The sequence below is a fragment of the Homo sapiens genome, chromosome 18 (assembly GCF_000001405.40).
Source record: "Homo sapiens chromosome 18, GRCh38.p14 Primary Assembly".
Lineage (NCBI taxonomy): Eukaryota > Metazoa > Chordata > Mammalia > Primates > Hominidae > Homo > Homo sapiens.
This window is the reverse complement of record NC_000018.10, coordinates 62,558,183-62,584,306: the sequence shown is the minus strand read 5'-3', so window position 1 is coordinate 62,584,306 and position 26,124 is coordinate 62,558,183. Positions and strand designations below refer to the sequence as shown.

General features: G+C 41.1%; 1 protein-coding gene across 2 annotated transcripts in view, besides 2 other annotated features; it reads right to left on the bottom strand.

The window, feature by feature from the left end:
- Positions 1-26,124, bottom strand: part of ZCCHC2 (zinc finger CCHC-type containing 2) — a 63,705-nt gene that overhangs the window by 2,423 nt on the left and 35,158 nt on the right. Inside the window, exons 7-14 of one of the 2 annotated variants that reach the window (NR_126534.2) lie at positions 25,537-25,620; positions 23,663-23,720; positions 21,163-21,298; positions 19,672-19,736; positions 19,211-19,305; positions 14,076-14,204; positions 8,757-10,250; positions 7,655-7,795 (exon numbers count right to left, since the gene is read on the bottom strand). Coding sequence is in view for 1 of the 2 variants with exons in the window: in NM_017742.6 (NP_060212.4) it covers positions 7,728-7,795; positions 8,757-10,250; positions 14,076-14,204; positions 19,211-19,305; positions 19,672-19,736; positions 21,163-21,298; positions 23,663-23,720; positions 25,537-25,620 (2,129 nt within the window). In the remaining variant the exon portion in view is untranslated. Of the gene's footprint in view, positions 1-5,727; positions 7,796-8,756; positions 10,251-14,075; positions 14,205-19,210; positions 19,306-19,671; positions 19,737-21,162; positions 21,299-23,662; positions 23,721-25,536; positions 25,621-26,124 lie in introns of those variants that run through there. The other variant, NM_017742.6, reaches the window with a different exon arrangement.
- Positions 48-107: an enhancer, noted in NCBI's record as "active region_13432". NCBI's record gives its function as "activates an Ori minimal core promoter by ATAC-STARR-seq in GM12878 lymphoblastoid cells {active_cell/tissue: GM12878}" and the evidence as "EXISTENCE:reporter gene assay evidence [ECO:0000049][PMID:35858748]".
- Positions 25,706-25,805: a silencer, noted in NCBI's record as "silent region_9514". NCBI's record gives its function as "represses an Ori minimal core promoter by ATAC-STARR-seq in GM12878 lymphoblastoid cells {active_cell/tissue: GM12878}" and the evidence as "EXISTENCE:reporter gene assay evidence [ECO:0000049][PMID:35858748]".

The window sequence follows — 26,124 nt, the reverse complement described above, 5'->3', positions numbered from 1 at the left end:
CGGAGGTGACTGCGTGAAGGGTCTCCGGTCCCCACACGTGTGATGTGCCCCCATTACAGAACAGACAAGAGGAAGCCCCAAACCACCCCCAATTCCAAAGCTTCCACAATTGATAAACATTTGCATACACACACAGAACTCAGGTGATGTGTACCCATGTTCCAATTCAGGGGGCTTACATTTTTCAACAGAGGACAGCGTTTAGGAATTAGGGAAATTTTGCATGGACAAGCACAACAGCTGTATCTGTAAGCAGCGGTAACATCAAATATGATGTTATTCTGACCCTAGGAATCCAACCTGAGCAAGCCAATACGTTAATGAGCATCCAGGGAAAGACAAGGTTGTCCGCCCTGGCCTGTCCTCTCTCTGCACAGGGTCATCTGAAGGGGCGAGGGCACTCCAGTTAAAACATTCCCTCCACCCCGAGCTGACACCTGCCTCTCAGCCCTGGGACCCCAGAGCCCCTCATCCTTTAACAGCTGGTCTCCTCCCCTAAAGAGAAGAAGATGTAGAGATGTCGTGACTACGTTTCCAGGCAGGGACCCCATTTCTTCATATCTCACACCTCGAAACTCACTGCTCTGGAAATCAATGAGCCCTCCCTCTTGGTGGGGTGGGGTTGGGTGGAGGGGGGGGTCAGTATTTTTTTATTCTTTTAAGATTATGGGAGTGTCATGGGGTGGAACTATTGTCACAGCTTGCCTCCATATGGTTTCACTGCCTTAACCTTAGAATGCTTTTGCAATCAGTATGGAGAAGTGAAAAAGATGTCTTCCAAGCTCAAATGGATGGTGCTGTTAAGTACTAGGTGCTGTTAAGAAAACAGGTATTTTACACCGTGCTTTCTCATCTCTTTGGAACCTTTTCAGAAAAATTTGATTCTTAGTGCTTACATAAAAAATTAAATGTAGATTTGCCTTGCCATAAACTTTTACTTTGGTACTGAATAATCATGACCGTTATGACTCGGCATGTCTGTACAGTCCATACATACCATTAACTGGCAAGCTTTCCAACTAGGTTTAATCTGCGAGGGTAAGGAATAGCTTCTATATCGTTCATCAGTGCATAGAGCAAAATTAACTAATCTTAGTCTAATGAAGAGCTATGTTTGCTAGGTTCCTCACCATCCAAAGAATCACTGCCATCACTCCTACCCAAACCTGTTCTCGTCCACATCTTCCCTTTTATTAAAAAAAAAAGACACGGTCTCACTCTGTCACCTAGGCTGGAGTGCAGTGGCATGATCTGGGCTCACTGAAGCCTCTGCCTGCTGGGCTCAAGCGATCTTCCTGCCTCAGCCTCCTGAGTAGCTGGGACTACAGGCATAGACCACCAGGACCAGCTAATTTTTGTATTTTTTGTAGAGATGGGGTTTCGTCATGTTGCCCAGGCTGGTCTTGAATTCTTGGGCTCAAGTGATCTGCCCAAGGCCTTGGCCTCCCAAAGTGTTGGGATTACAGGTGTGAGCCACTGTGCCTGGCCCTGTCTCTTAAAATAGTATTACAATCTCCCTGTTCATCAAAATTGAATTCAACTAGAATTTGAGTGGCTTCTCAGTGCTATTTCATTATGTTGGACCTTTCCCATAGATTATTTAACCTTCAGAGCCATTATTTATTTATTTGAGATGAAGTCTCACTGTCACCCAGGCTGTAGTGCAGTGGTGTGACTGCAACTCACTGCAACCTCCGCCTCCCAGGTTCAAGCGGTTCTCCTACCTCAGCCTCCTGAGTAGCTGGGATTACAGGCACACACCACCATGCCCGGCTAAGTTTTTGTGTTTTTGGTAGATTCGGGGTTTCACCATGTTGGTCACGCTGGTCTCAAACTTCTGACCTCAAGTAATCCACCCGCCTTGGCCTCCCAAAGTGTTGTGATTACAGGAGTGAGCCACTGTGCCCGGCCACTGAACCATAATTTAAAAGAGCAATTCTCATTTTACATCTAGGGAAAATAAAGTTCAGAGCATCAAGGTTCCTTCTACCTGTCTCTTCCATCCCTTTCTAAATGGACCTTCCCACGGCCAACACCTTAGTCTCGGCCCTCCTGGCCATGCCTAACCCGTCTTTCAACCTCCAGGCTCTCTTTCCTTAACCACCTGAGGATTTCCTCAAATACCACTGTCAATGTGTTTTCCCTCTATTCAAAACTTGGAAACTTCCCATTTTTCATTCAACCAACTCCAAATTCTCCAGTCTGATCCCATTTTATCTACTGTACCCACAAATCTTGAAACTCTTTTATAATTTTCCCTTTACTATGGCTGTATCTCCTTCCCCCACGTCCCCAACCACACACTGCTGTTTTTGTTCCTGCCCAGCCTGCGTCCCCTTCCCCAAGGTGACTCTCCACTCTGGGGCTCTTTCTAGATGCAAAGACCTAGGCTGCACATGCATTCCCCCACCTGGCCTTCCACAGCACTGTGACACCATCTCGGGAGGGGTCCACCTGGCCTTCCACAGCACTGTGACACCATCTCGGGAGGGGTCCACCTCGCCTTCCACAGCGCTGTGACACCATCTCGGGAGGGGTCCACCTGGCCTTCCACAGCGCTGTGACACCATCTCGGGAGGGGTCCACCTGGCCTTCCACAGCGCTGTGACACCATCTCGGGAGGGGTCCACCTCGCCTTCCACAGCACTGTGACACCATCTCGGGAGGGGTCCACCTGGCCTTCCACAGCGCTGTGACACCATCTCGGGAGGGGTCCACCTGGCCTTCCACAGCGCTGTGACACCATCTCGGGAGGGGTCCACCTGGCCTTCCACAGCGCTGTGACACCATCTCGGGAGGGGTCCACCTCGCCTTCCACAGCACTGTGACACCATCTCAGGAGGGGTCCACCTCGCCTTCCACAGCACTGTGACACCATCTCGGGAGGGGTCCACCTCGCCTTCCACAGCACTGTGACACCGTCTCGGGAGGGGTCCACCTGGCCTTCCACAGCGCTGTGACACCATCTCGGGAGGGGTCCACCTGGCCTTCCACAGCGCTGTGACACCGTCTCGGGAGGGGTCCACCTGGCCTTCCACAGCACTGTGACACCGTCTCGGGAGGGGTCCACCTGGCCTTCCACAGCGCTGTGACACCGTCTCGGGAGGGGTCCACCTGGCCTTCCACAGCGCTGTGACACCATCTCGGGAGGGGTCCACCTGGCCTTCCACAGCGCTGTGACACCGTCTCGGGAGGGGTCCACCTGGCCTTCCACAGCACTGTGACACCGTCTCGGGAGGGGTCCACCTGGCCTTCCACAGCGCTGTGACACCGTCTCGGGAGGGGTCCACCTCGCCTTCCACAGCACTGTGACACCATCTCGGGAGGGGTCCACCTCGCCTTCCACAGCACTGTGACACCATCTCGGGAGGGGTCCACCTCGCCTTCCACAGCACTGTGACACCGTCTCGGGAGGGGTCCACCTGGCCTTCCACAGCGCTGTGACACCATCTCGGGAGGGGTCCACCTGGCCTTCCACAGCGCTGTGACACCGTCTCGGGAGGGGTCCACCTGGCCTTCCACAGCACTGTGACACCGTCTCGGGAGGGGTCCACCTGGCCTTCCACAGCGCTGTGACACCATCTCGGGAGGGGTCCACCTGGCCTTCCACAGCGCTGTGACACCGTCTCGGGAGGGGTCCACCTGGCCTTCCACAGCACTGTGACACCGTCTCGGGAGGGGTCCACCTGGCCTTCCACAGCGCTGTGACACCGTCTCGGGAGGGGTCCACCTGGCCTTCCACAGCACTGTGACACCGTCTCGGGAGGGGTCCACCTGGCCTTCCACAGCACTGTGACACCATCTCGGGAGGGGGGTCTAGATACCCATTCAGGATTCTCTACTACATTGCTGGTGTGAGTGTAAATCACTTGGAAAACAATACTGCAAATCTTGGCAAACTGAATACTTGCATGTCCTACAACCCAGCCGCTGCACTCCCAGCTTGCCGCCCTAGAGGACTCGTGTACACACGAACCAGGGACAACAATGTTCCCAGCAGACTTGTTTGTAACAGAAAAAAAATTAAAACCACCCAGATGTCCATTGACAGAATGGAGAAATTATCTATATTCTTCCCCACAATGAGACTATCATAAGGTAGGGAAAATGAATAAATATAAGAACACAACATCAAGACCATAAAATCAGATGAACAGAGCCAGGCACAGAAAGCTAGGCACAAAAGGATACCCTTATAAAGCTCAAGAAAAACAAAAAGAAACGGTATATTTAGGAGCAGTGTGTGGGGAAATAAACAAGTAAAAGAGTAACAGAAGGCCGGGCGCAGTGGCTAACGCCTGTAATCTCAGCACTTTGGGAGGCCAAGGCGGGTGGATCACCTGAGGTCAGGAGTTCGAGACCAGCCTGGCCAACACAGTGAAACCCCTTCTCTACTAAAAGTACCAAAAAAAAAAAATTGGCTGGGCGTGGTGGTAGACGCCTGTAATCCCAGCTACTTGAGAGGCTGAGGCAGGAGAATCACTTGAACCCGGGAGGTGGAGGTTCCAGTGAGTCGAGATTGCACCATTGCACTCCAGCCTGGGCAGCAAGAGCTAAAGCATGTCTCACAAAAAAAAAAGAAAAGACTAACACAATCTAAAGCAGTGGTTACCTTAGTGTAGTGGGGGAAGGGGAGGGAGGGATAGCTAAGGATATGGGACATGCTAGTTAATGTGAATCTGGGTTCATGATTTACACGTTACCTATAGGTGCATTATTTGTTGGCTGAAAACGAAAGTTGGTGCCCTGTAAACAATCAGGGAATTTATAATCATTTCAAACTCACTGCCCACCCAACCGGATCCAGAGGGCACAGTCATTAGATGGCTCCTGACAAAGAGCCAAGGCCCAGGACGGTGCTGGCCACCAGGACTGCGTCAAGGGCGGCGTGGAGCAACACACACAGGCCCCCAACCGTCTCTTATAAATTACCAACCGTTTAAAAACTTTGAGCCTGGATTACAGCCAAGATAAGCAATGAAATAAAAAATAGTACACATTATACTGAGAGAGGGGCCTGGCTAATAAAATCACACTAACAAAGTTGATAAAGTAATGAGTCCTTTACACTTTTAGTGGCTAAAGGCCTAAACTGGAAATACGAGCTCAAGGTTGACAAGGACTCTGCCTCATTGCTACCATAGTGTTTGGCACGCAGCCGAGTACTCAAAACTCACGGAGTGCAGTCCCCCTTTCTCTAGTGGTCACGCAGATTACCTCTATATAAAGTTACTTGGGAGGCCGGGCATGGAGGCTCATGCCTGTAATCCCACCACTTTGGGAGGCAGAGGCAGGCAGATCACTTGATGTCAGGAGTTCAAGACCAGCCTGGCCAACATGGTGAAACCCCGTTTCTACTAAAAATACAAAAATTAGCTGGGTGTCATGGTACATACCTGTAATCCCAGCTACTCAGGAGGCGGAGGCAGGAGAATCGCTTGAATCCAGGGAGGCAGAGGTTGCAGGGAGCTGAGATCCCGCCACTGCACTCCAACCTGGGCGACAGAGCAAGACCCCGTCTCAAAAACAAAAAGGTTATTTGGGGGAAGAACTGAGGAGCATCCAGATGGTAAATAACTTTGGGATTCACTGCCCACCCTGCAGGGAAATGGATTGATCCTTAACCCCAAAATAATTACATACCTAAATAAAACTTTAAAAAAATCGCCATGTATGATGTCCTATCTCCACTTTTACAAAATTTACAATGAGGCACAATTCTTAAGCTGTTTTTCATTTTTTTATTGCTGTTAATTCAAGGAAAAAAGGTTGCATAAAATCCAATCTGTTCTAGAAATATAAGTGGCCTTTCCAGTACATAACATTTCAAATATCAAAGTATATGGTAAACATACAAATAAGGAGAAGGTAACATACCTCCTATGTACAGTACAGTATTTTAAATCATAAAATAAGCTCCATAAAGTACAACTGGCAAGTGATTCACAACGCGGCCCATAAGTGGCTTATCAAAACTCTCACTTGAACAACTCAACTGCAGCTTAACAATTAATTTAATAATGTGGTCCAAAAATACCCAGATCAAATAAAATATATTTAATCAAAATAATTTCCTTTACTTGAACTTTCTTTCTAAATTAAAGCTTTCATCTACCCCTTCACACCCACCCCTTCCCCATAACTCCCACCCCTGAAAGAAAGTTTCAAAATGTACATTGGTGCTATAAATATAAATGCTACTTATGAAGCATGAAATTAAGCTTCTTTTTTCTTCAAGTTTTTTCTCTTGTCTAGCAATCTGTTAGGCTTCTGAACCAAGACCAAATGTTTACGTTCCTCTGCTGCATACCAACGTTACTCCAAACAATAAAAATCTATCATTTCTGCTCTGTGCTGAGGAATGGAAAATGAAACCCCCACCCCCTGACCCCTAGGACTATACAGTGGAAACTGTTCATTGCTGATGAATGCAGCAGTCACCAAAAAATACACCCAATCTTCCAGATAACCTCAGTGCACTTTAGGAAATCAAAAATTACCTGGAAGCAATTTAGTACATAGATTGGCTTTTTAAAAAAACTTTTTTTTTTTTTTAAAAACAGCAGCATTAAACTTAGTGACATGACACCGACATGATTAATACCATCTTAACACACTCAGAATTCCGCCTTTCACATTATAATCAAGCATAGTGGTAAACTGTTATAAAAGTGACTTTGCTATGAGAGACAGGTTAGGGAACAAACAACCTGACTTATGGTAGAAACCCATAGCTCTGTTCAGATTGCAATAAACCATACACATTTTAAACACAACGTAACACTGTAACAGCTGGTACAGGGAAAGAAGAAATCTTCACTCAAGTAGTGTCTCTTTGAGCACAACACGGTGGTAGACAAGTAAAATTGGCTGTAGACTTTCATTACAAACACAAGCACACAGAGAGCGACATTCACACCAGTGTGTTCACTTTGTGTCTCTCTGAAGCAACAGGCTAAAAAAGGATGATGGAAGTAAAAAGTTGGTTTCAGAAAAAGCTTTTTGTCCATTTCGTACGTCATATTTTTTCAGTTTCATATGGTTTGACTTCTTCCTCTCTCTTCCACTTATTTTCATTTCTATTTGGACAACAAGCACTGCATATATGTATTTACGTGACGCTGTTTATTACATATATACACACTATTTTGGGAGTTTGATTCCTCCCATAAGATCAGGGTGAAACATTCTGCCCTTGGTTTATATGCAGAGCAGTTTACAAAAGTGGGGTGAATGCACTGCTGGCTGCTCCTGCTGCGGGCCGGAGACAGAGTGAGGCTGGCTGGGGAGGAAGTGTCGTTTAGGGTGAAAGTGAGAAAAGCTGGGAAGAAGCAAAATTTCTTTTTTTTTTCAAAACCATATGACTGTCACCAGTGTTGTAAAAAAAAGGTCAAATACACAGTTTTAAAGATTCAGTAAACATTGCACACAGCAAGTATTCAGTGTAAAAAAAAAAAAAAAAGCACGCACCAACATTTAAGTTTGTCTGAAGGTTTAAATTACATGTATCATACATATAAGCCTGTTGTTGAACCAGGAGACCAGAGGCTCAAAAGCATTGCATTCTTTCTTGTTTTGGACATTGGTACAAGAGAAATGAAAAATCCCAACTGCATAGAAATCTAGGAAATGTATAGACAAAGAAACAAAATACCTTTCCTTTCCTCCCCTCCACACCCCATGACTCCCCACACTTGAGTGTATTAAGTAGGCAAGCTTTACTCGTTTCAGTCTGCAGAATCCAACGTATCATTAGAAGGGGGGAGGGGAGGTGCGTATCTCAGTCTGTAAGTGCCTAAAATGGGAAAGACAGAACTAAGTCACCGCTTACAAGCAAACGTCATCACAAACCACTACGTACAAGCTATCACACGGGCATGCTCTCCACAAGGCACCTTCGTCAGCTCTAGTGCCACTCCAAATGGCCAATCCGCTCACTTTAAAAAGCAATGTAAAGTTTGTGCTTTGAATTCAATCTAAAAGCTATCAAACTTGATCTTTCTTTAAGAATGCCAAGTAAATATATTCCCAATTTAAGACTTTTTTTGTTTCTGGGTAAGATTTGGCAAAACGACAAAGGTCAAATGCAAGTGAAAATAACAGCCTGAAGTTGACATAAAATTTGGTATCTTACTCAAACATAGGTAAGACCATTTTCTTCTTTCTGGTGGTAGTAATATTAAACTTTGTTCAAATTCCTTTACTCTCAAATCAAAATAGTACTGAACTATTTTGTTCCTGTATTAATGCAATAGAATCTTGGACCTTTTTTTTTTTAACATTTGCTGGGAAGGAAAAGGGTAGCATGGGGAAACAGGCATGAGGCAGCTGGTTATGCAGATATACTAAATAGTTACTCAAAACCTAATGTCAGATAACTAAATTACTTCCTAGGTTTTCAATATTTAAAAATTTTGCTTACTCTATGAAACAGGATTGTAGCTTAAAAAAAAAAAGTGCTGCAAGCAAGAGATTTAACATTACAGAATGCAAATTCCCATCACACTCCTTCAAAAGGGCCTTTAGAGTTTATTCCTTAATTGGAAACTGAATTCCTCTGAACTTCCTTGTGCTCTGTGTGACCTGGGTCTACACTGTTTTTCCAGTTGCATTTTATGATCTGTCACTGAAAACAATATCCATAAACGAAAACACAAACAGATCTTTCTGCTACAACAGAATCCCATGATCAATAAGGAAAGGAAGGAGAAATGAGTGAACTCAAAAACAAGTCCTCTGGGAGTTATTGTGATTACCTTGTTGATTGGCCTCCATGGACGACTGCTTACAGTCCTGTGCATAGTGTCCGCTTACACCACAATTGTAACATGAGACATTCCCATTCTTCTTGGGCCCCGAACCACTGGTGTTGGCAACTACGTTAGGTGCTGGATATACAGGATAGAATCTCCCAAATCCTGCCATCTGCTGCATGCCATAGTTGGCTTGGCTCCCCATGACTGGGTCATGTACCAGTCCATTTGCATATGGAGTCTGAGGCAGAAAAAAAGGAAGTTGGTTTCCATTGCTCTGATGTGCTTGGTTGAGGTAGCTGCCATTGCAAATGGATGGCAGAGTAAAGAATGAAGGGACTCGGTACATTGGTCCAGGCATTGGATTAGGATAATAGTAACTATTTAGCTGAAGGTTTCCATTGGTCCCACAGCTGCACCTTCGCCCACAAGAACCACAAGGACCTGAGCCCATCTGCTGCGGTGGCACTACTGTCCCATTAGCGTTCGTGTTCCCCACAGCACTGATGTAAGAGGTGCTGTCACTCTGCGCGGTACTGTGTGTCAAGGCAGGGCTTGGGCTCGGGGCAGGGCCTGGGGTGTGGGTAGGAACTGCAGGAGGAACAGTTGCCTGGGCCTGGCTGATACCTGCGCTCGCTGGCTGGGGAGAAGTTGCTGCTGTGCTGAGCACACTGGAGTTCTGGCTGGGTAACACGCCGGCAGCAAGGGGAGAGCCTGGTAAGGGGTAGGAAGCTGGTGGCTGAGCAGCTGAGAGGCCAGCTGCTGGAAGAACTACCTTCACATTGGTAGGCTGAGGGACTGTCCCTGTGTTTCCCTCAATTTGAGGCACCATTTGATTGAGTCCTACCACTTGGGATGCAGATTTTGTGATGGGGTCCGTGGTAGCAACAGGAGAGCCTGGGAAACTACCTGGGTTATGGATAGGAATAAAGGCAGTGTTTGGTGATGCGATGCTCAGGCTTCCGGGTGGTTGTTGTGGGATGTTAACTGTGCAGCTCTCAGAAGATCCCTGTGGTGGTGGCAACTTTAGCCTCTGAACTGTAAGATGCAAAGCGGGAGTACTACTGTGTGGAAGGAAGGTTGATGGAATAGGTAAAGGGGAAGCCAGTAACTCAAGGTGCTTTTCCGATTCTCCAGTGCAAGCTGTTGGCCCTAGTATTCCAACAGGGGTTGAATTTGCAGACTCCCTTATTGCAGAAATAGCAACAGGACTAGGAACAAGCATCCCTATGGTTTTGCCATCAGCGGGTTTGGGTGCAGGAACGACAACTTCAGACTTCTGGGCACCATTGTGCATGACACAGTGTAACGTTGGCATAAAAGAAATATGCTGATACTTGGGTGAGTTTAAGGGATCTTCTAAAAGGTTTCCATTCTCATTTCCTAGTGAAGCAATTTGAACAGGTGGCTTGACAGTGACAGTCTGGTTGACAGAACCGTAACCTGTAAACCTAGTTGTTGATGGATTCCCAGAATCCTCAGAATTGCTGTCTGTGTCTAAAGAAAACAAACATAAAGAGATATTAACACGGGCATAACTCCCATCTTTCTTGCTAGAAATAAACATTGAGTATACCTCAAAGTAACTCAAGTTTGGAAAGTGTCCCTCTATGTTTCCTGACTGTCCAAGCTGACCTCCCTTTAACTTTCGGCTTTCTATGGGTCGATATTAGATCAACGCTTTATTTTTAAAATACGGGGATATAAACAGAAAACAAAACATAAAAGGCTAGTTGGAGTCTGAATGAAACATAGTATAAAACAAAGAGATTTATGTAACACCATCTTTGTACTGAGAAGAGCATCAGACACTCTTAACCTTAATAAACTTCAGGCAATCCACTTGGTTTCTATTCTGCACTGCCAACCCAAGTTCTTCAATTTGTCGCAGATAAATGATACAATTTCAAAGAGCTCAGTCAAGACAATATTTAACTCAAATATCTAGAGGCAGGGAACAGAAGAGTTTTCTTTTGTTGTTGTTGTTGTTTTTTTTAGAATGGAATCAATATTCTTAATACTAAATATTTCAATGGGGGGAAGAAAATTTAAAGCTATTATTAATCATAAAACAAACACGCTAGAACACAAGAAACAGGAATAGGAGAGTGTGGCAATTTCTCCAAAATCAAAACAGCAAAACAGCAAATACAAACAACACTGCATCGGCTACTACTCCTGCATCAGTCTTACGCTTGTGTACAGAAATAGCGTGGACCTAGCCTTCAGGGGATGTCCTGACTTTTGGTATAAAGGGGACAAGGATAAAATCTGATTCACAATGTTTAAACATCATAGACCCAGACACTGTGTTGATGTATACACAGACCATTCCATTAAAATGTAGTGCCTATTTAAAAATCTTTCTGCTTGTATGGATAAGCTGAATTGTACTAGGTACTTAAAATATTTGTATTCATTAAGGTATGAACTGTTTATATTCAGCTTCAGATATTAAAAAGTTTTCAAACAGAACACTAAAAACGAATTCGTCTTCCTGAAGAAAGATTAAATGAAAGCTACTTACTGACACAGAACATCAACAGTATTACTAATTCAATGATTTTAATTTATATTAGAAGAAACTCAAAGAGTGAATGGTTCTAGCATAAACTTCCCCTAATAGATTAATAATTGGGGTATTTCTTGCTAAACTTTGCAAAATAAAAACTATCCCAAAATCCAAACTTATTGAAGGCATTTTATCTGTATCATCACACCAGTGCACAGTCAAAGATAAAAATGTTAAGTCTGAAAGAAGCAGAAACATTTTGGAAGAAGTGCGTTAAATTTCTATGTGAAATAGCAAATGGCCTCATGATTTTTAATGCTCCCAGTTGGTTTTCTAAGCATCCTGAGACTCCTCTAGACATGCTGAGACATGTCTCACCCTTTTGTGCACTGATTTCGGTAAGTGTAAAGCCCCAAACAGAAATACCATCACTACCCAGGAGAGCAACAGCAAAGCCACCCACGCCCTTTTCAAAGGAGACTTTTCATCCACTCAGAATTCTAAAAATGATCAAAACTCTCTACCATAATGGATATTTTCCTTGGGTGAAGACAGCCCTAAGCCATTCTTTCATATTTAATAACAGCCTATTTGAAAAAAGCCAAGTTCCTCCACACAGGCCTCCAACTTGTGCCATCTGATGGCAGAAGAGGGATGCTGTCATTACCCAAGTGTACAGATGTACACTAACACTTCGGACAGGGCCAAATCTGCAGTGTGAGCCACAGAGTCACCTGCTTATCCTAGAGAATCAAGCATAAATGTACAATGAAACATACTGAAAGTTTGTCTATTCTGGGTAAGGCATAAAAATCCTCTCATTTAATGCTGGGTGCAGTGGCTCATGCTTATAATCTCAACACTTTGGGAGGCCAAGGCAGGAGGATCACTTGAGCCCAGGAGTTCAAGACCAGCCTGGGCAACACAGCAAGACCCTGTCTCATAAATTTAAAAAAAGAAGACGAAAAAAATCCTCTCATTTAAGTTTCAAAACAGCTCAGTGAGACGTTGTTTTCATTTTTTTTCTTTCACAAGGAAACTGCAGATTAGAAGTACAGTGTTGCCTCAGATTAGAAGAATTGGTGGTAGAGTAACTATGCTACATTTGGTATGACTACAAAGTAACTGCAAAGTAAAAGCTGACTTTAATTGTATATCATGTAGCAACACTCTATACCATAGCTCCCTAAGACATAGCGTGATACCACAACACAGAAAGAAGCTAATGTCACAGAGAGCTGCAGACTGTCCAGGAAGAAACCACACTTGGCTGAAACAATATGTGGTAAGGATCTTAATCTGTGGGTGGACCATGAGAAGTAACTTGATGCTGCCCACCAGCATGGGTACACCTTGTAACCAAGGTGTTACCAATCAGACGTTGTCATCATGCATAAAGAATGACATCCTCATTCAACATACACATTTTTAAAGAGATCTCACCTCCATACCAGAATGGTAGAGTAAGACCTCTAATAATCCACTCTTCCATAAAAGCAATGAAAACCCTAGCAAAAACTGTCAAATAACCAACTTTCTCAAAATTCTGGAAATTAACTAAAGGCTTACAGCACTCTGACGAGTGTTTATTCAAGAAAAACAGCTCGATCTGTAAGAAAAGAAAATCTCAAGGCATTTTCCCCTTGTCCTACTTCCACTCCCCCTTTCTACAGCTCTAAAGTAGCCCTGTAAATGACTTGTACCTCACTTTCTGAAATCAGTGCAAACACCATCTCTCTTGCAGTAGTAGCTACAAAACCCAGCAGCCATTAGGAGTATGGGTTTCGAGTTCCCCAAAAGCCCCACCACCAAACTGTCACCATTTGACTGTCTGGCAGCTAGCACTCACTCTGTGTTACAGCCTCTTACCCGCAGGACATTTGTCATAATTAGTCAGAAGCAACTGTTTAAAAATGTAGCCGCCCAAGGTGGCATTACTAGCTGGGGCTGACAAGAGGCTGACCAGAAAACTTAAAATGAAAAACTGGGGAATAAGATGGCTACAGGAGGCTTTGAAAAGCTTTAATATATTCCTGGGAACCTAAAACGTTTTGCTCATGCCTATAGTTACATACCTTTCCAAGGCAGACCTGAGAAGGCCCTAAGCTCTCACTGCTGGCTGATTTTAAGCCTCTGTGCAACGAGGAACTGAAGACATAATACACAGAGAAAACAACAAAATGGCAGACATAAAACCTACCTTATTAGTAATTACATTAAATGTAAATGGACAAATAGCAGAGATCGGCAGAATGAATAAAAAACCATAATCTAACTATATGTTGTCTACAAGAGACAAAATTTATATTTAAAGACACAAATAGGTTTAAAGTAAAAGGATAGAAAACAAAATACTGTGCAAGCAGTACCTAGAATGCTGGATCGACTATACTATTCTCAGACAAAATAGACTTTAAGACAAAAATTGTTACTAGAGACAAAGAAGGATATCCCAAAATGATAAAAGGGTCAATCAATCGAGAGGACGTAAAGAGCATAAACATACATATGCATCTAACAAGACACATTTTCCTTCTTTCTACACTAACTCTACCTCATTATGATCCTGTCTTCATCCTACTTAACTTCATATGCAGTGAAATATGTTTATCAAATCAACATTGTTAGGAATTTCTAAGGCAATGATCTATACGACATCCTTTATAACGACTTTACATTTAAAATCAGTTAATGGCATTTATAGGATCATAAAATTCCTTGTTTGACTTTGACATGAAGAAACAACACACATTTCCCTCCACTTCCCCACCCCTGCCATGCCAACAATACTCCCACTTCAAAGAGCAAACCTCTGTCTTTCTCTTCTTCACTTTCAAAACTTTCTCTTCCATCATGTCGGGGACTAGATGGAGAACTGTAACTCTCTGAAGATGTTTCTCCACATGTGTCATGTCCAGAGCCAATGTCCAAATTCACATCTAAAAATAACAACACTATTTTAAAAAATCATGTTAAGTCATTTTAAATTAATTTCTAAGTTGAATCATTAGAAATTAATTTTAGCTATATTTTCTTCAGTTTCCCCACAACCATCTAAAAAAGCTTGTCCTTGATCTAAACTGATTAAATTACAATTCTAATAGAAAATACTTAATAAATATATCCTTAAAACAATGCACAGAATAAGTCAATCTTACTGACTTCAAAGAAAAAACGAGTTAAGGTTGGTTGCAGGGTCTGTCCAATAATATCACTTTGAGCTACTTTCTAAGTCTAGATATTTTAACTCTTAAGAGCTTGCTGGAAAATTCATTCTTTAAAAGAACTCAAGAAGAAAAGGGCTGCCAAAATGCCTATTCAATGAAAATTACTTGGAGTATTTAAAATAATAAAATGCTTCCCATCTAGTAGACTGAATAGTCCCCTGAGTTCTGCCAAGTTCAAGCCTATACTGAGGTAGTGTGAGGTGGTGACAGGACCTGCCATGACCAACTAGCCGTATCTGTTTTGAGCACATAAGGAGGGACTATCGGTGTATCTAGTATTGGACAAGAGATACAAACTTTGGATTTTTTTTTTCCTGTAGTGGCCCTGACTGAGGGAAATATTCTCTTATCTCTGTAAACCCAGTAGCTAGCGTAATTCTGCCTTACAGCAAGCATTCAATATATGTTTGGTGTATAAATCCCCAAATAAGGGATTCCAGAGGCTTCTTAAGAACTATAGATTAGTGAATCATTTCTGTGCCAACTGGTAGAACCAGTAAAAGATAATGGGTATTAATTGCACGGGCAAAATATGTGTCAGAGAAAAGGCACAATTTGTATAATGAGCAATGCAGGCAACTGACTTGTGGTTTTGGCTGGGATAAATTTGTAACAGTGTTAAGACTGTTAAACATGACCTAGATTAGCCCAGCCACTCAAATGTTAGGTGAATATTGAAGAAAAATAAAGTCATTAGGAATGTTGATGTTGCTAAATTCCTTCTGAGTAATAAATGTCAAACTGTCAAGGGAAAACTGCACAAAATCTTATGAGGCTAGAAGGAAAAGTGGCAGAGGAGTTCATGGGCAAGTAACAATTTTACAGAAAAGTTACCTGGAGGATACCTACACAGCAACAGGCCCTGAATGACCCATCATAAGGCGACTAAAGGGATGCAAGTCAACACCACCAATGGCTGCTTGAAGACAAGCTAACGGGCCATAGTGGCCAAATAAGTTGTCATTAAATTGGACTAATGATGAAACCTATAGAACTTGCATGAGTCTTGCATATAAATATTTCAACCAGCATATAACAAAATGAACAACCCAAGATCAAGAGAATCAAAGATTCAACAGGATATTCTCAAACTAGAAATGGACTGAAAAGGAACCTCAGGGGTAGCGTTCATCAAAATGATGCAGACAGTGAAACTACAGTAGACTATAGTTCAAAGAGCAAATTTCAGAATATGTTTTAAAAAAAGCAGCTACCTCTCCAAATGGCATAATTTACAAAACTATTTTCTTTACACTGTGCAAGCTGGTGAATATTCTAATCACGAATTGCCATATACAAAACCGCAGCTTCCAAAGAACTGAATACATAAATCTAAATCTATACTAACGTAACTTTTTTTTGATAATTCAGAAGGTACTTCAGAATTGTGTGGTACCTTAAGAACTTTTATAATCAGAAATTATGTGATCCTCTAGAGATTCAGGGGATGTGGAAAGTGAAGACAGACCAATTATGCCAAAGGATACTCCACAAATTGCCCTTTTAAAAAGACACACAAACTGAATTTGTCATGTCTCAAATGATAAAGGGTCTTGCACATAATAAAAACAAAAAGTAAAACATAAACCACTATTCTAACACTAAAAATACTGGAAATTGGTAATTATAAACAATAGAAGTCTGTTAGAGTTAAGACTCATTTAAATAAATCATAGGCAACAGAACCACATATTTCATCTGGGATATTAAACGAAGCTAGAGACCTTCTAAATCTTTTACAAGAAACTGAGAGATCAAGCATCTCATTTCCCTCTAAATTTTTTGGTGCCACAATTGGCAACAGAAGAGTGGGGTGGAAGAAACACTGGGCAATAAACTACAATGATGAGCATTCTTTTTTTTTTTTTTTGAGACAGAGTCTCATTCTGTCGCCCCGGCTGGAGTACAGTGGTGCAATCTCGGCTCACTGTAACCTCCACCTCCCGGGTTCAAGTGATGCTCCTGCCTCAGTCTCCCGAGTAGCTGGGATTACAGGTGTGCACCACCACATCTGGCTAATTTTTATATTTTTAGTAGAAACAGGGTTTCACCATGATGGCCAGGCTGGTCTCAAATTCCTGACCTCAAGTGATCCACCGGGCCCCAGCCTCCCAAAGTGCTGGGATTACAGGCGTGAGCCACCGCGCCTGGCCATGGTGAGCATTCTTAACGCTCTATATGAGGTAATATGCACCTCTTCAGAAGACAGACTTTCAGAAAGCTTGGGTTTTAACAGAAAAGACACTCCAACAACACAGACAGCTGACGGCGCTGACTGCGTCCTGGCAGGAGCCAGCACAGAGGAGGGCTGGGAGCGATCTTTGTTTTCTTTTGAAATTCTGAGCTACATAAATGGATTATCACTCAAAACAGAAGTTAAAACTTAAATTTAATAATAAATTTTTAAGAAGTAAAACAATACAAATCTTAAGCTAAAATGTATTATTTAAAGATCCAAACAACCTGCTAATCAGAAAGACTCAGTATTTTCAGCTTCAAGACAATGTCTCTCCAATTTATGATATGAGCTGTTGTTCCATAAAAAAATCCTTAGGCACGTACTGAGTTTACTGAATGCTTAAAGACAATTCTTCCTTGGTGCCTTAATATTTCAAAGAAAAATTAATACACAGAGGGGTTTTTTAAAAGTTGGAATTGGCATACATCTGCGCTGCACTTGATATCAATAAGACAAGCTGTACAAAAAATATTTCATTCAGTCATTTTATAAATGTAAATACATACAAATCGGTGACGGATATAGAGGAGAAAATAGATAAAATTGAAAAATACGCTGAGGTTGTTATTTTCATAACACTTGAAAATTAAGGAAAAAAATGAATGGGAGTTTGTGATGCTGTTACAAAGTTCTTAATAACCTATACAATGTATGTTTCCCTCTAATTTATTAGAACAAGGAAAAGGAACTAAATTGCTGCAGTGAACACCTAGGTACTTGGAACTAGGAAAATGCTCTTCATGTTTTTACATGTAATTCTTACAATCTGCTGAAGCAGGCATTACTCCTGTTTTACAAATGAGCAAACAAAGGCATCAGAGAGGTCACATGCTTAATAAACTGGGGGAGCACAACACTCAAACCCTAACTGTCTCTGACCAACGTCCACGTGCTTCTCCTCTGGAAATGGGCTAACATCGAAAAAACAGTTGCAAACTTCTTTAGTGAGCAGTAGTTCCCAAACACTGTGAGACAAGAGACAGAGTGAGCTTGTGGAGGGCAGGAATTTCATTCAGAAAATGGTATTTTAGAAAACAAACACGGCAGCAGTATGGAAAATGAACTAGAAAGAGAAGGAACAGAGACAGGGAGGGCCAGCAGCATCAATCTCCAAATGTCCACCGACAGACTTCTGTCTTCCTCATTTAGCTTGTTCCTCCTCCGTTAAGCTGCCATCGCCACCAGAGGGAACCTCAGAGATAGTAAGTGTTACAAGATCCTTCTACAGACAAGATGGGTTTTGTCCATGTTATTTTACTCCCACTTCCAATGCTTCAATGAGTTGGCCAGATGATTTTAGTTTTTTAATTTATTATTTATTTATTTATTTGAGATGGAGTTTCACTCTTGTTGCCCAGGCTGGAGTGCAATGGCGCAGTCGTGGCTCATTGCAACCTCTGCCTCCCGGGTTCAAGCGACTCTCCTGCCTTAGCCTCCCGAGTAGCTGAGATTACAGGCATGTGCCACCACGCCTGGCTAATTTTCGTATTTTTAGTAGAGACAGGTTTTCATCATGTTGGTCAGGCTGGTCTCGAGCTCCTGACCTCAGGTGATCCACTCACCTTGGCCTCTCAAAGTGCTGGGATTACAGGTGTGAGTCACCGTGTCTGGCCCAGATTATTTCAGATTCAAAAGGTAACTATTTTTTTTCTTCATCACTATTCAGTCTTTCTATACAAATATCTAGTTGAAAAATATACTCAAAACTTTTAAGAAATAGATTCTGGTTATTCATATTACATCACAACTGAATGTACTAATATTAGAATAACATTTAAATTAACAATCACATTTGTGGGATCACTACATAAATGTGTCAGGGGCACCCAGGGATAAAATATTCTCCTAGAGGTCTGCGTGCTCTTATTCTTTTTTAATCGTTACAATTAATAGTGAAGATAAACAAAATCAATGAAGCTGCAGAAGGGCACTTTCTCAAGTCAAATGAACCTTGAACCTAAAAATAAAGGGACCTTAAAATAGTGGTGGGTAAATGGAAGCCATCTAGTATAACAAAAATTTGAGGGTTGACATTCCCCTAAAGCCTCATAAAACTTCGCAAAGGATGGTTATTAAATCATGAAGAAGTCAACAGTATTCTAAAAAATACTTTACACAAAAACACTCTCATGAGCGGCCGGCAAAGCCACAGGAGAGATCTCCCATGGCCTTGGGACCTGTCTCCTGAGTTGGAACTGGCTGGAGAAGAACAACCTGGGAGACTCCTGCTGCCAGAAGGGAGAGGCAGGTGAGAATCACTGAGGCAAAGGCAATCTCCACCCCCATGGCTGGTTTGTATTCCCTAAATTAACTCCATTGATTTCAGAACTGTTTAATTTGGAAATTGCTGTACATATCAACACAAGGTAAACTTATAGTATTAGGATTTGACACAACAGCTCAGTATCTATTAATACAGTAAGTATCATGCTGAATATATTTATGTGATGGGTATTTGAAAGAAAAATAACCTTCTTACCTTTCACAGTACCACCATGGGCATGCTGAGGAGTGGAGAGTCTAATACCATTTATTCTACTATTCAATCTGTTGTCAGTTTTCTTAATTTTCTCCCTAAACCAAATGAACATATTGCCAACATTTTAATAAGGTTATCTACCAAACACATTCAGTACAGTATTGATAAAATTTCCTTCAAGACTCTTCAAATTTTTTTAGTAAGGAATAATCTAAATACAATTAAGATTCGCCCTTCCGTGGAAAGTTCTGAGAGTTTTACCCCTCCAAACTGAATGCAATATTTGACAGTAGCTTTATTTTTATCACCTGCATATATTAATATTTTGAACCAAAAGAGTAAAACCCAGAATTAAAAATATAAAGAAAACTAACTAAAAAAATACTATGTTGTATACTATCATAAACTAAACAGGCCTATTATCAAAGGCTATATGCTGTCTTTCCTTAAATTGAACCTACTTTTCTGTTTGTGGCTTTCCTTTCTTCTTATTTATTGAAGATAAACTCCGTTTTTCAGCAGAATGCTAGTAGAAAGAATAAAAAGACAAATCAGACAAAAGCTAAACCATTTTGACGTTTTTACTCTCATAATAAACATTAAAATGATAGATTCCCAGTTGTATATTCTAACAAGTGTTGATTTCCAACCTATTTTTGAAGTTTCCCACCTGAACCACTAAAATTTACATATTCTGTGACACTTACATATTTTCCTCATGATTAATACAGTATTATTTTCTATTTTTCTTTGAAAATGGACCTACATTCTTTTTTCTGACTATAAAATGAAACACAATCAAGTGACTGGCACTTGCTGTAGGTTTACTACTATTCTCTTCAAGTACAATTCCATATAACTGTCAACACTTAACTACGTCAACTCTAAGAAGAGAGGGTGCAGGCACTGGAGTAGGGGAGGGAAAGTAAACTCAGACGGGCTTTGAAAATAGGTCACTAATTATGACTAAAACTATTTATAATTTCTCAGAATATGCTTTAATGCATAAAAACACATTCCAAGAAGAGTTAACATTTGGATCTGAGCGTTGGCCAGGGACAACATCGGGTTAATGAATCAATTTTCTAGAGAGAAGTTTCATTCCATACTTGTAACATATACACAGGGACCTCCCCCCATATCTGCGAGGCCATACGACATGAAACATACTTAACAGCATTCTGCTCTCTGATCACACCCAAATCTTAAGAAAGCAAACATCCCCTAATGCATTCTGAAGTGTCAATAAACTGACCCAAATATTCATGAAGAAAGGTCAGTTGGAAAATTTCTATCACAAATAGCAAGGCAGTGATTGAAATCTGAATTCTAATTCTTTCAAGACCAAAAAATTTTGGCATAACAATCTGATGTACACCTTTGTTAAACAGTGAAGGTATTATTTTTAAAATTTTTATTTTGTTTTAAATTTATTTTTTAGAGACAGGGTTTCACTCTGTTGCCCAGGCAGAAGTACAGTGGTGTGATCATGGCTCACAGCAGCCTTGAACTCCTGGGCTCAGGTGATCCTCCTGCCTCAGCCTCCCGAGTAGCTGAGACTACAGGTGTGTACCACCACACTCAGCTAATTTTTAAATTTTTTATACAGACAGGGTTTCAGTATGTTGCCGAGGCTGGTCAAATGGGTGGCCTCAAGCAATCCTCCTGCCTTAGCTTCCCAAAGTGCTGGGATTAGAAGCGTGACCCATGGCGCCTGGGAAGGTGTCATATTAAAGTGTACTAATCTTACACAAGCAATAAAAGTAATCTAAATACACATTTTCAGGTCTCAGAAGAGCTTAGATCATATATAAGTATAAAGTCTAAAACTTAAACATTCCTTCATTTCTTACCAGATATACTGTCTGACTGAAAGCTTACAGAACTTAATTTTTTTCTTATAGAGGAGCAATGCTTTAACTATATAGCTCCAAAACAAACTCCCCACACACCTGGTCAGCCGAGGTCACACAGTGCTCTGGGTGTTGAATGGTGGTACAGCTTTGCTTCCTCCAATCCACAATTCCATTCTGTTCAGAATATTGCATGGTAAGCCCATCCAATGGAGAACAACTTGTACCAATATTGCTACCAAAGAAAAGTTTATGAAAGTGTGAAAATCTGCCCTCAATAATAACCTATTTCATTTCAACAAAGAAGTTACAGTAACCCTTTCTTCAATATATTAGTTTCTTCAAGGAATGCCTAATGATAGGTCTAAGAAAAAAAAGTATACTATGAGAAATAAACCACTACACATCTATTTATCATTAATACTTGTCTCTAAAAAGAGTAGTAACAGCTGCACACTCTGCTTTTAGACACTATGCGATGGTGATCATCATACACTGCTTACAGCTGGGACAGAGAGGCTTATACAACCTGCATCTTGAGAGCACTGCTGTCATGAGCACTTAAGTAACTGGGCACATGAAGGAACAGGATAATGAGATCAAAAACCAAAAGAAACAGACAAGAGAAATAGGCCCCAGCAGAATTCAGATGATAAACTTATTGGACACAGACTTTCAGGTAACAGTGCTTAACATGGTTGACAAATACAATACTGAGGATTTTGGAAGAGAAATTTGGAAAAGAAAAAAAAAGTAAATTATAGAACTTATAAAATAAACTAATATTACAAACTCAACAAATGGGAAATAGATGGAGAAAATTAGTGAAGGGGAAACAGATGAAGAAAATCAATGAAGAAAAAATTGGTCGGAAGAAAACAGATTAAAGCACTGAGACTGAAAAAAATGTGAAAAACAAAAAAGGCTTAAAAGACATGGGACGGCTGGGCACGGTGGCTCACACCTATAATCCCAGCACTTTGGGAGGCTGAGGTGGGTGGATCACCTGAGGTCAGCAGTTCGAGACCATCCTGGCCAACATAGTGAAACTCCGTCTCTACTAAAAATACAAAAAAAAAATTAGCCAGGCATGGTGGCGGGTGCCTGTAGTTCCAGCTACTTGGGAGGCTGAGGCAGGAGAATCGCTTGAACCCAGGAGGCAGAGGTTGCAGCGAGCTGAGACTGCGCCACTGCACTCCAGCCTGGGTGACAGAGCGAGACTCCATCTCAAAAAACAAAAACAAAAACAAAAAAAACCACGGGACATGGTGAAAAATCTAACATACAAGGATTTGGAGTCTTGGAAGACGGAGCAAGAGAAAAGCGGAGAAGAAATATTTGAAGAAGTAAAAAGCTAGTTTTCTAAAATCAGAAGACATCAAGCTACAGATTCAAGAATTCATGCAAAGGAAGCTAGGAAAACTGCTGAAAACCAGACAACAACAAAACCTTAAAAGTAATCAGAGGGAAATGCGTATTATCTTCAAAAGAGCAGCAGTAAGACCGATTGAAACTCTGGATGCCAGATGACTTAAGTGTGAGTTCCTCTCAAAATCAGAGTCCAGCATAACAGAGTTTATTTGGGAAGTGATCCCAAAAAGCAGGAGCAAGGGAGTGGAGAGGATGAAATGGCGAAGGACTGCAATGAAGAGTCCACAGTGGAGGCTGGAAGCATCAGGAGCTCCGAGCTTCTGGGCCCTCCCAGAATGACAGACCCAAAAAGGATGGAGGCAGACTCCTGTGTGAGCAGCAAAGGCCCTAAGGCGGAACATGGAAAGTCACGGCTCATACTTGAGGAGCACAGCGCTAATGTGGTATGAGTAAGAAATCACAGACGGTTTTATGGGATCTGCAGGAGAAACTGGAGGTGAGTGGAGAGAATAAGATGCAAGGAAATAAAGGGAGAACCAGATGATAAGGAAACTATGCTCTCAAAAGCTCACGGAAAGTAACTGCCCAATTAGAAGTCCACATGTGGCAAGAGTATCTTGTAAAAATGAAGGCAAAATAAACATTTTTTCCAGATAAAAATTTGAGTGCATTCATCACTGGCCGATGTGACTATAGGAAATACTCAAGTGTTCTTCAGTTGGAAGGAAAATGATCATAGGTGGATGCTCAGAGACACAGGAAGGAATGAGTACACAAACACTACAAAGAGGTTTCATGGAATTTAAAATTATACAGAGAATTAAAATGCATGACAGCCACGGCTTACAAGTTAGGGGGAAATAAATGATGTTGCAGTAATCTAAGGTCCTCAAATTGTTTGGGACCAGTACAAGCACAAATATCCAACTTTAATAAGTCAAAGATATGTAATATTATCTCTAGGGTAGCCACTAGAAGAACTTTCATTGTAAAACTATCAAAGATGATAGGGGAAAACAAAACAAAACAAAACAAAAAAAAACCACAGAAGAAAAACAACCCAAAAGGAGGCAAAAAAAGTGAGAAAAGGAAACAGAAAAAGTGAAGAAATAAAAAGCAAATAGCAAAATGACAGAATTATAGCCAAATACATCAGAAATTTAATTAAATGTTACATTGATTTTAAAACATACCAAAGCACTTTTTGTTTTAGAAAGAGGATACTTACTTCACAATGGGACTTTTCCCAGTATGCTTCTTGTGGATTATGGCATGCTGCAACACATCTAGAAGAGAGGAAAAAGTAACTTATTACACTAAATGCTGCAGCAAAAACCAACAGTAGGATGCTACTAGTTTGTATGATCATAACCACTGGTGACAGATGGTATGAAGCACTTCTAAGCATTTCTCAACATAGAAGACATCTTAAGCAATTTTTCAAAAACACAGTAAACTCTGAATTACCTTTTATGTTCTCTCAAATGTCTTCCACCTAACAGCAAATCAATCTTGTTCAAAACTATGAAAGTCTATATGAGCATGTCCCTACAAAACTAAAACATCCAATTTCAGATAGAACTTTTTAACCATTAAAAAATGAAGAGTTTCAAACATTCAAACCTGTATCTATTAATATAACAAACATCCATGTACACCACCCTCCAGACTGCTCCATATTTGCCTCTTTTAAGAAACAGAATATCACAGGAATGACTGAAGGTCTTCCCTCCATTCCACTCCCCCTCATCCCTCTAGAGGCTAACTAGTAGCTTACTTGTTGAAACATTCTAGTGCAAGTTTTAACTATCCATATATGTGTGCTCATAAACACATTAGCTGTTACATGTTTCAATATACAACTGTCCTTCAGTATTTGCATGTAATCTATGCACATCCTCCTGTATATTTTAAATCATCTCTAGATTACTTATAATACCTAGTACAATGTAAATGCTATGCAAATAGTTGTTATGCTGTATTGTTTAGAGAATGACAAGAAAAAGAATTTTTTCCCCCAAATACTTTCAGCTCACAGTTGGTTAAACCCACCAATGCAGAGATGGAGAGCCAATTGTACTATAAATATCCTTTATTTTAATTGCTACCTAGTACAAAGACATTATTTATTTATAACATTACTAACATTTGAAATGTTCAGGCAATTTCCTGGTATTTGCCCTTGCAAACAATGCTGCCTCAAGGACCCGGGCCCATGTCCCCTTTTGCAGGTGTGTAACAATTCTCATAGATGCAGGATTGCTGGACAGCAGCATATAATTATCTCCAACTTCACTACACAGCACCAAATTTCGTCCAAAATAGTTCTGTCAATTTATATCCCCATCAGCAGTGCCTGAGAGTTCCCACTGCTTCATATCCTTGATGTCAGACTCCAAAATGTTTTGTCAATCTGCTGAGTGTGAGATGACACCTGTTTCCATTTGCATTTTCCTGACTACCAGTGAGGCTGCACATTATGTAATAGCTGTTCAGGTTTCCTCATCTCAGAATCACCTATTTATGTCTTTCACCTATATTTCTGTTGGGATGATTGTCTCATTGACTTTTTAGGAAGATCCTTCCATAGTCTGGATATAGTCTTATCTGTAAATATCTTGCAAACACCATCTCTCAATCTATGGATGGTCTCCTGGCTATATGGTTCCTTTTGTCACAGAGAAGCTCTAATTTATTAAGATCTCTACCGTGGTCATGCTCTACTTTATTCAAGAAAGGCTTCTCCTCCCAAATTAACATTGAAAAGTTTAAGTTTTACATTTTACATATAAGTTGTTATTCACTTGAATGTCTTCTGCATGATGTAACTGGGAATCTAATTATACCTATTTTTTCATATGGAAAATCAATTGTGCCAACACCATTTATTGAACGGTCTATTCTTTGTCCACACACCATTTATTGAACAATTTATTCTTTCTCCACACACCATTTATTGAATGGTCTATTCCTTCTCCACTTATTTGTAATGCAACCTCTGTCACATTCCAATTCCTATATGTCAGTTTCTTCACTCCTTAAATGTTCTATCCATGTGCTATCAGCAGGCAGAATGATTTACTCTAGTGAATCTACCTTTACCTTCTTCTTGACTTGAAGCTTCAGAGCTGTCTTCTTTTAAGTGTTCTAATATCTTAGAAGTCTTCAGAGAGGATTGTAAGTTATCTGCAGGAAGCATTCAATACTATTAACTTTTTAGGAAAATTAAAATAAAGAAAACAAATATAATAATTGTTTTTTTACCTAAGGAAAATGAATGGAGGGTGAGTGGTGAAGAAAACATGGCTACTAGTGAGAAGGCAAGATGACACAGCCCAAAGCACTAGACTGTGAGTGGGAACCGTGTTCAAGAGGCCAGCTGTTCCCTGAAGAGCGACTGACCTGGACAAGTCATTTCATATCTGTCAGCCCCAGTGTGCTCATGTGCAAAATGAGGAAATAAAGTAGAAAGGTGCTTCTTAAACATCTGTGGTGTGGTAAAGATTCAGTTTTCATTTTTTTAAATCTTCAGTTTGCTGTGGATCGTTACTTTTGTAAAATACAATAAAATAACGTGGCACTGTCAAATTGTTAATCTCTCAGTGTCTGCTCTCAATTTCTGTTCTCGTGTTACAGAACAGTAACAAGCAATTTATGGACCAGCACTGGCCCATGCAACACATTTTGGAT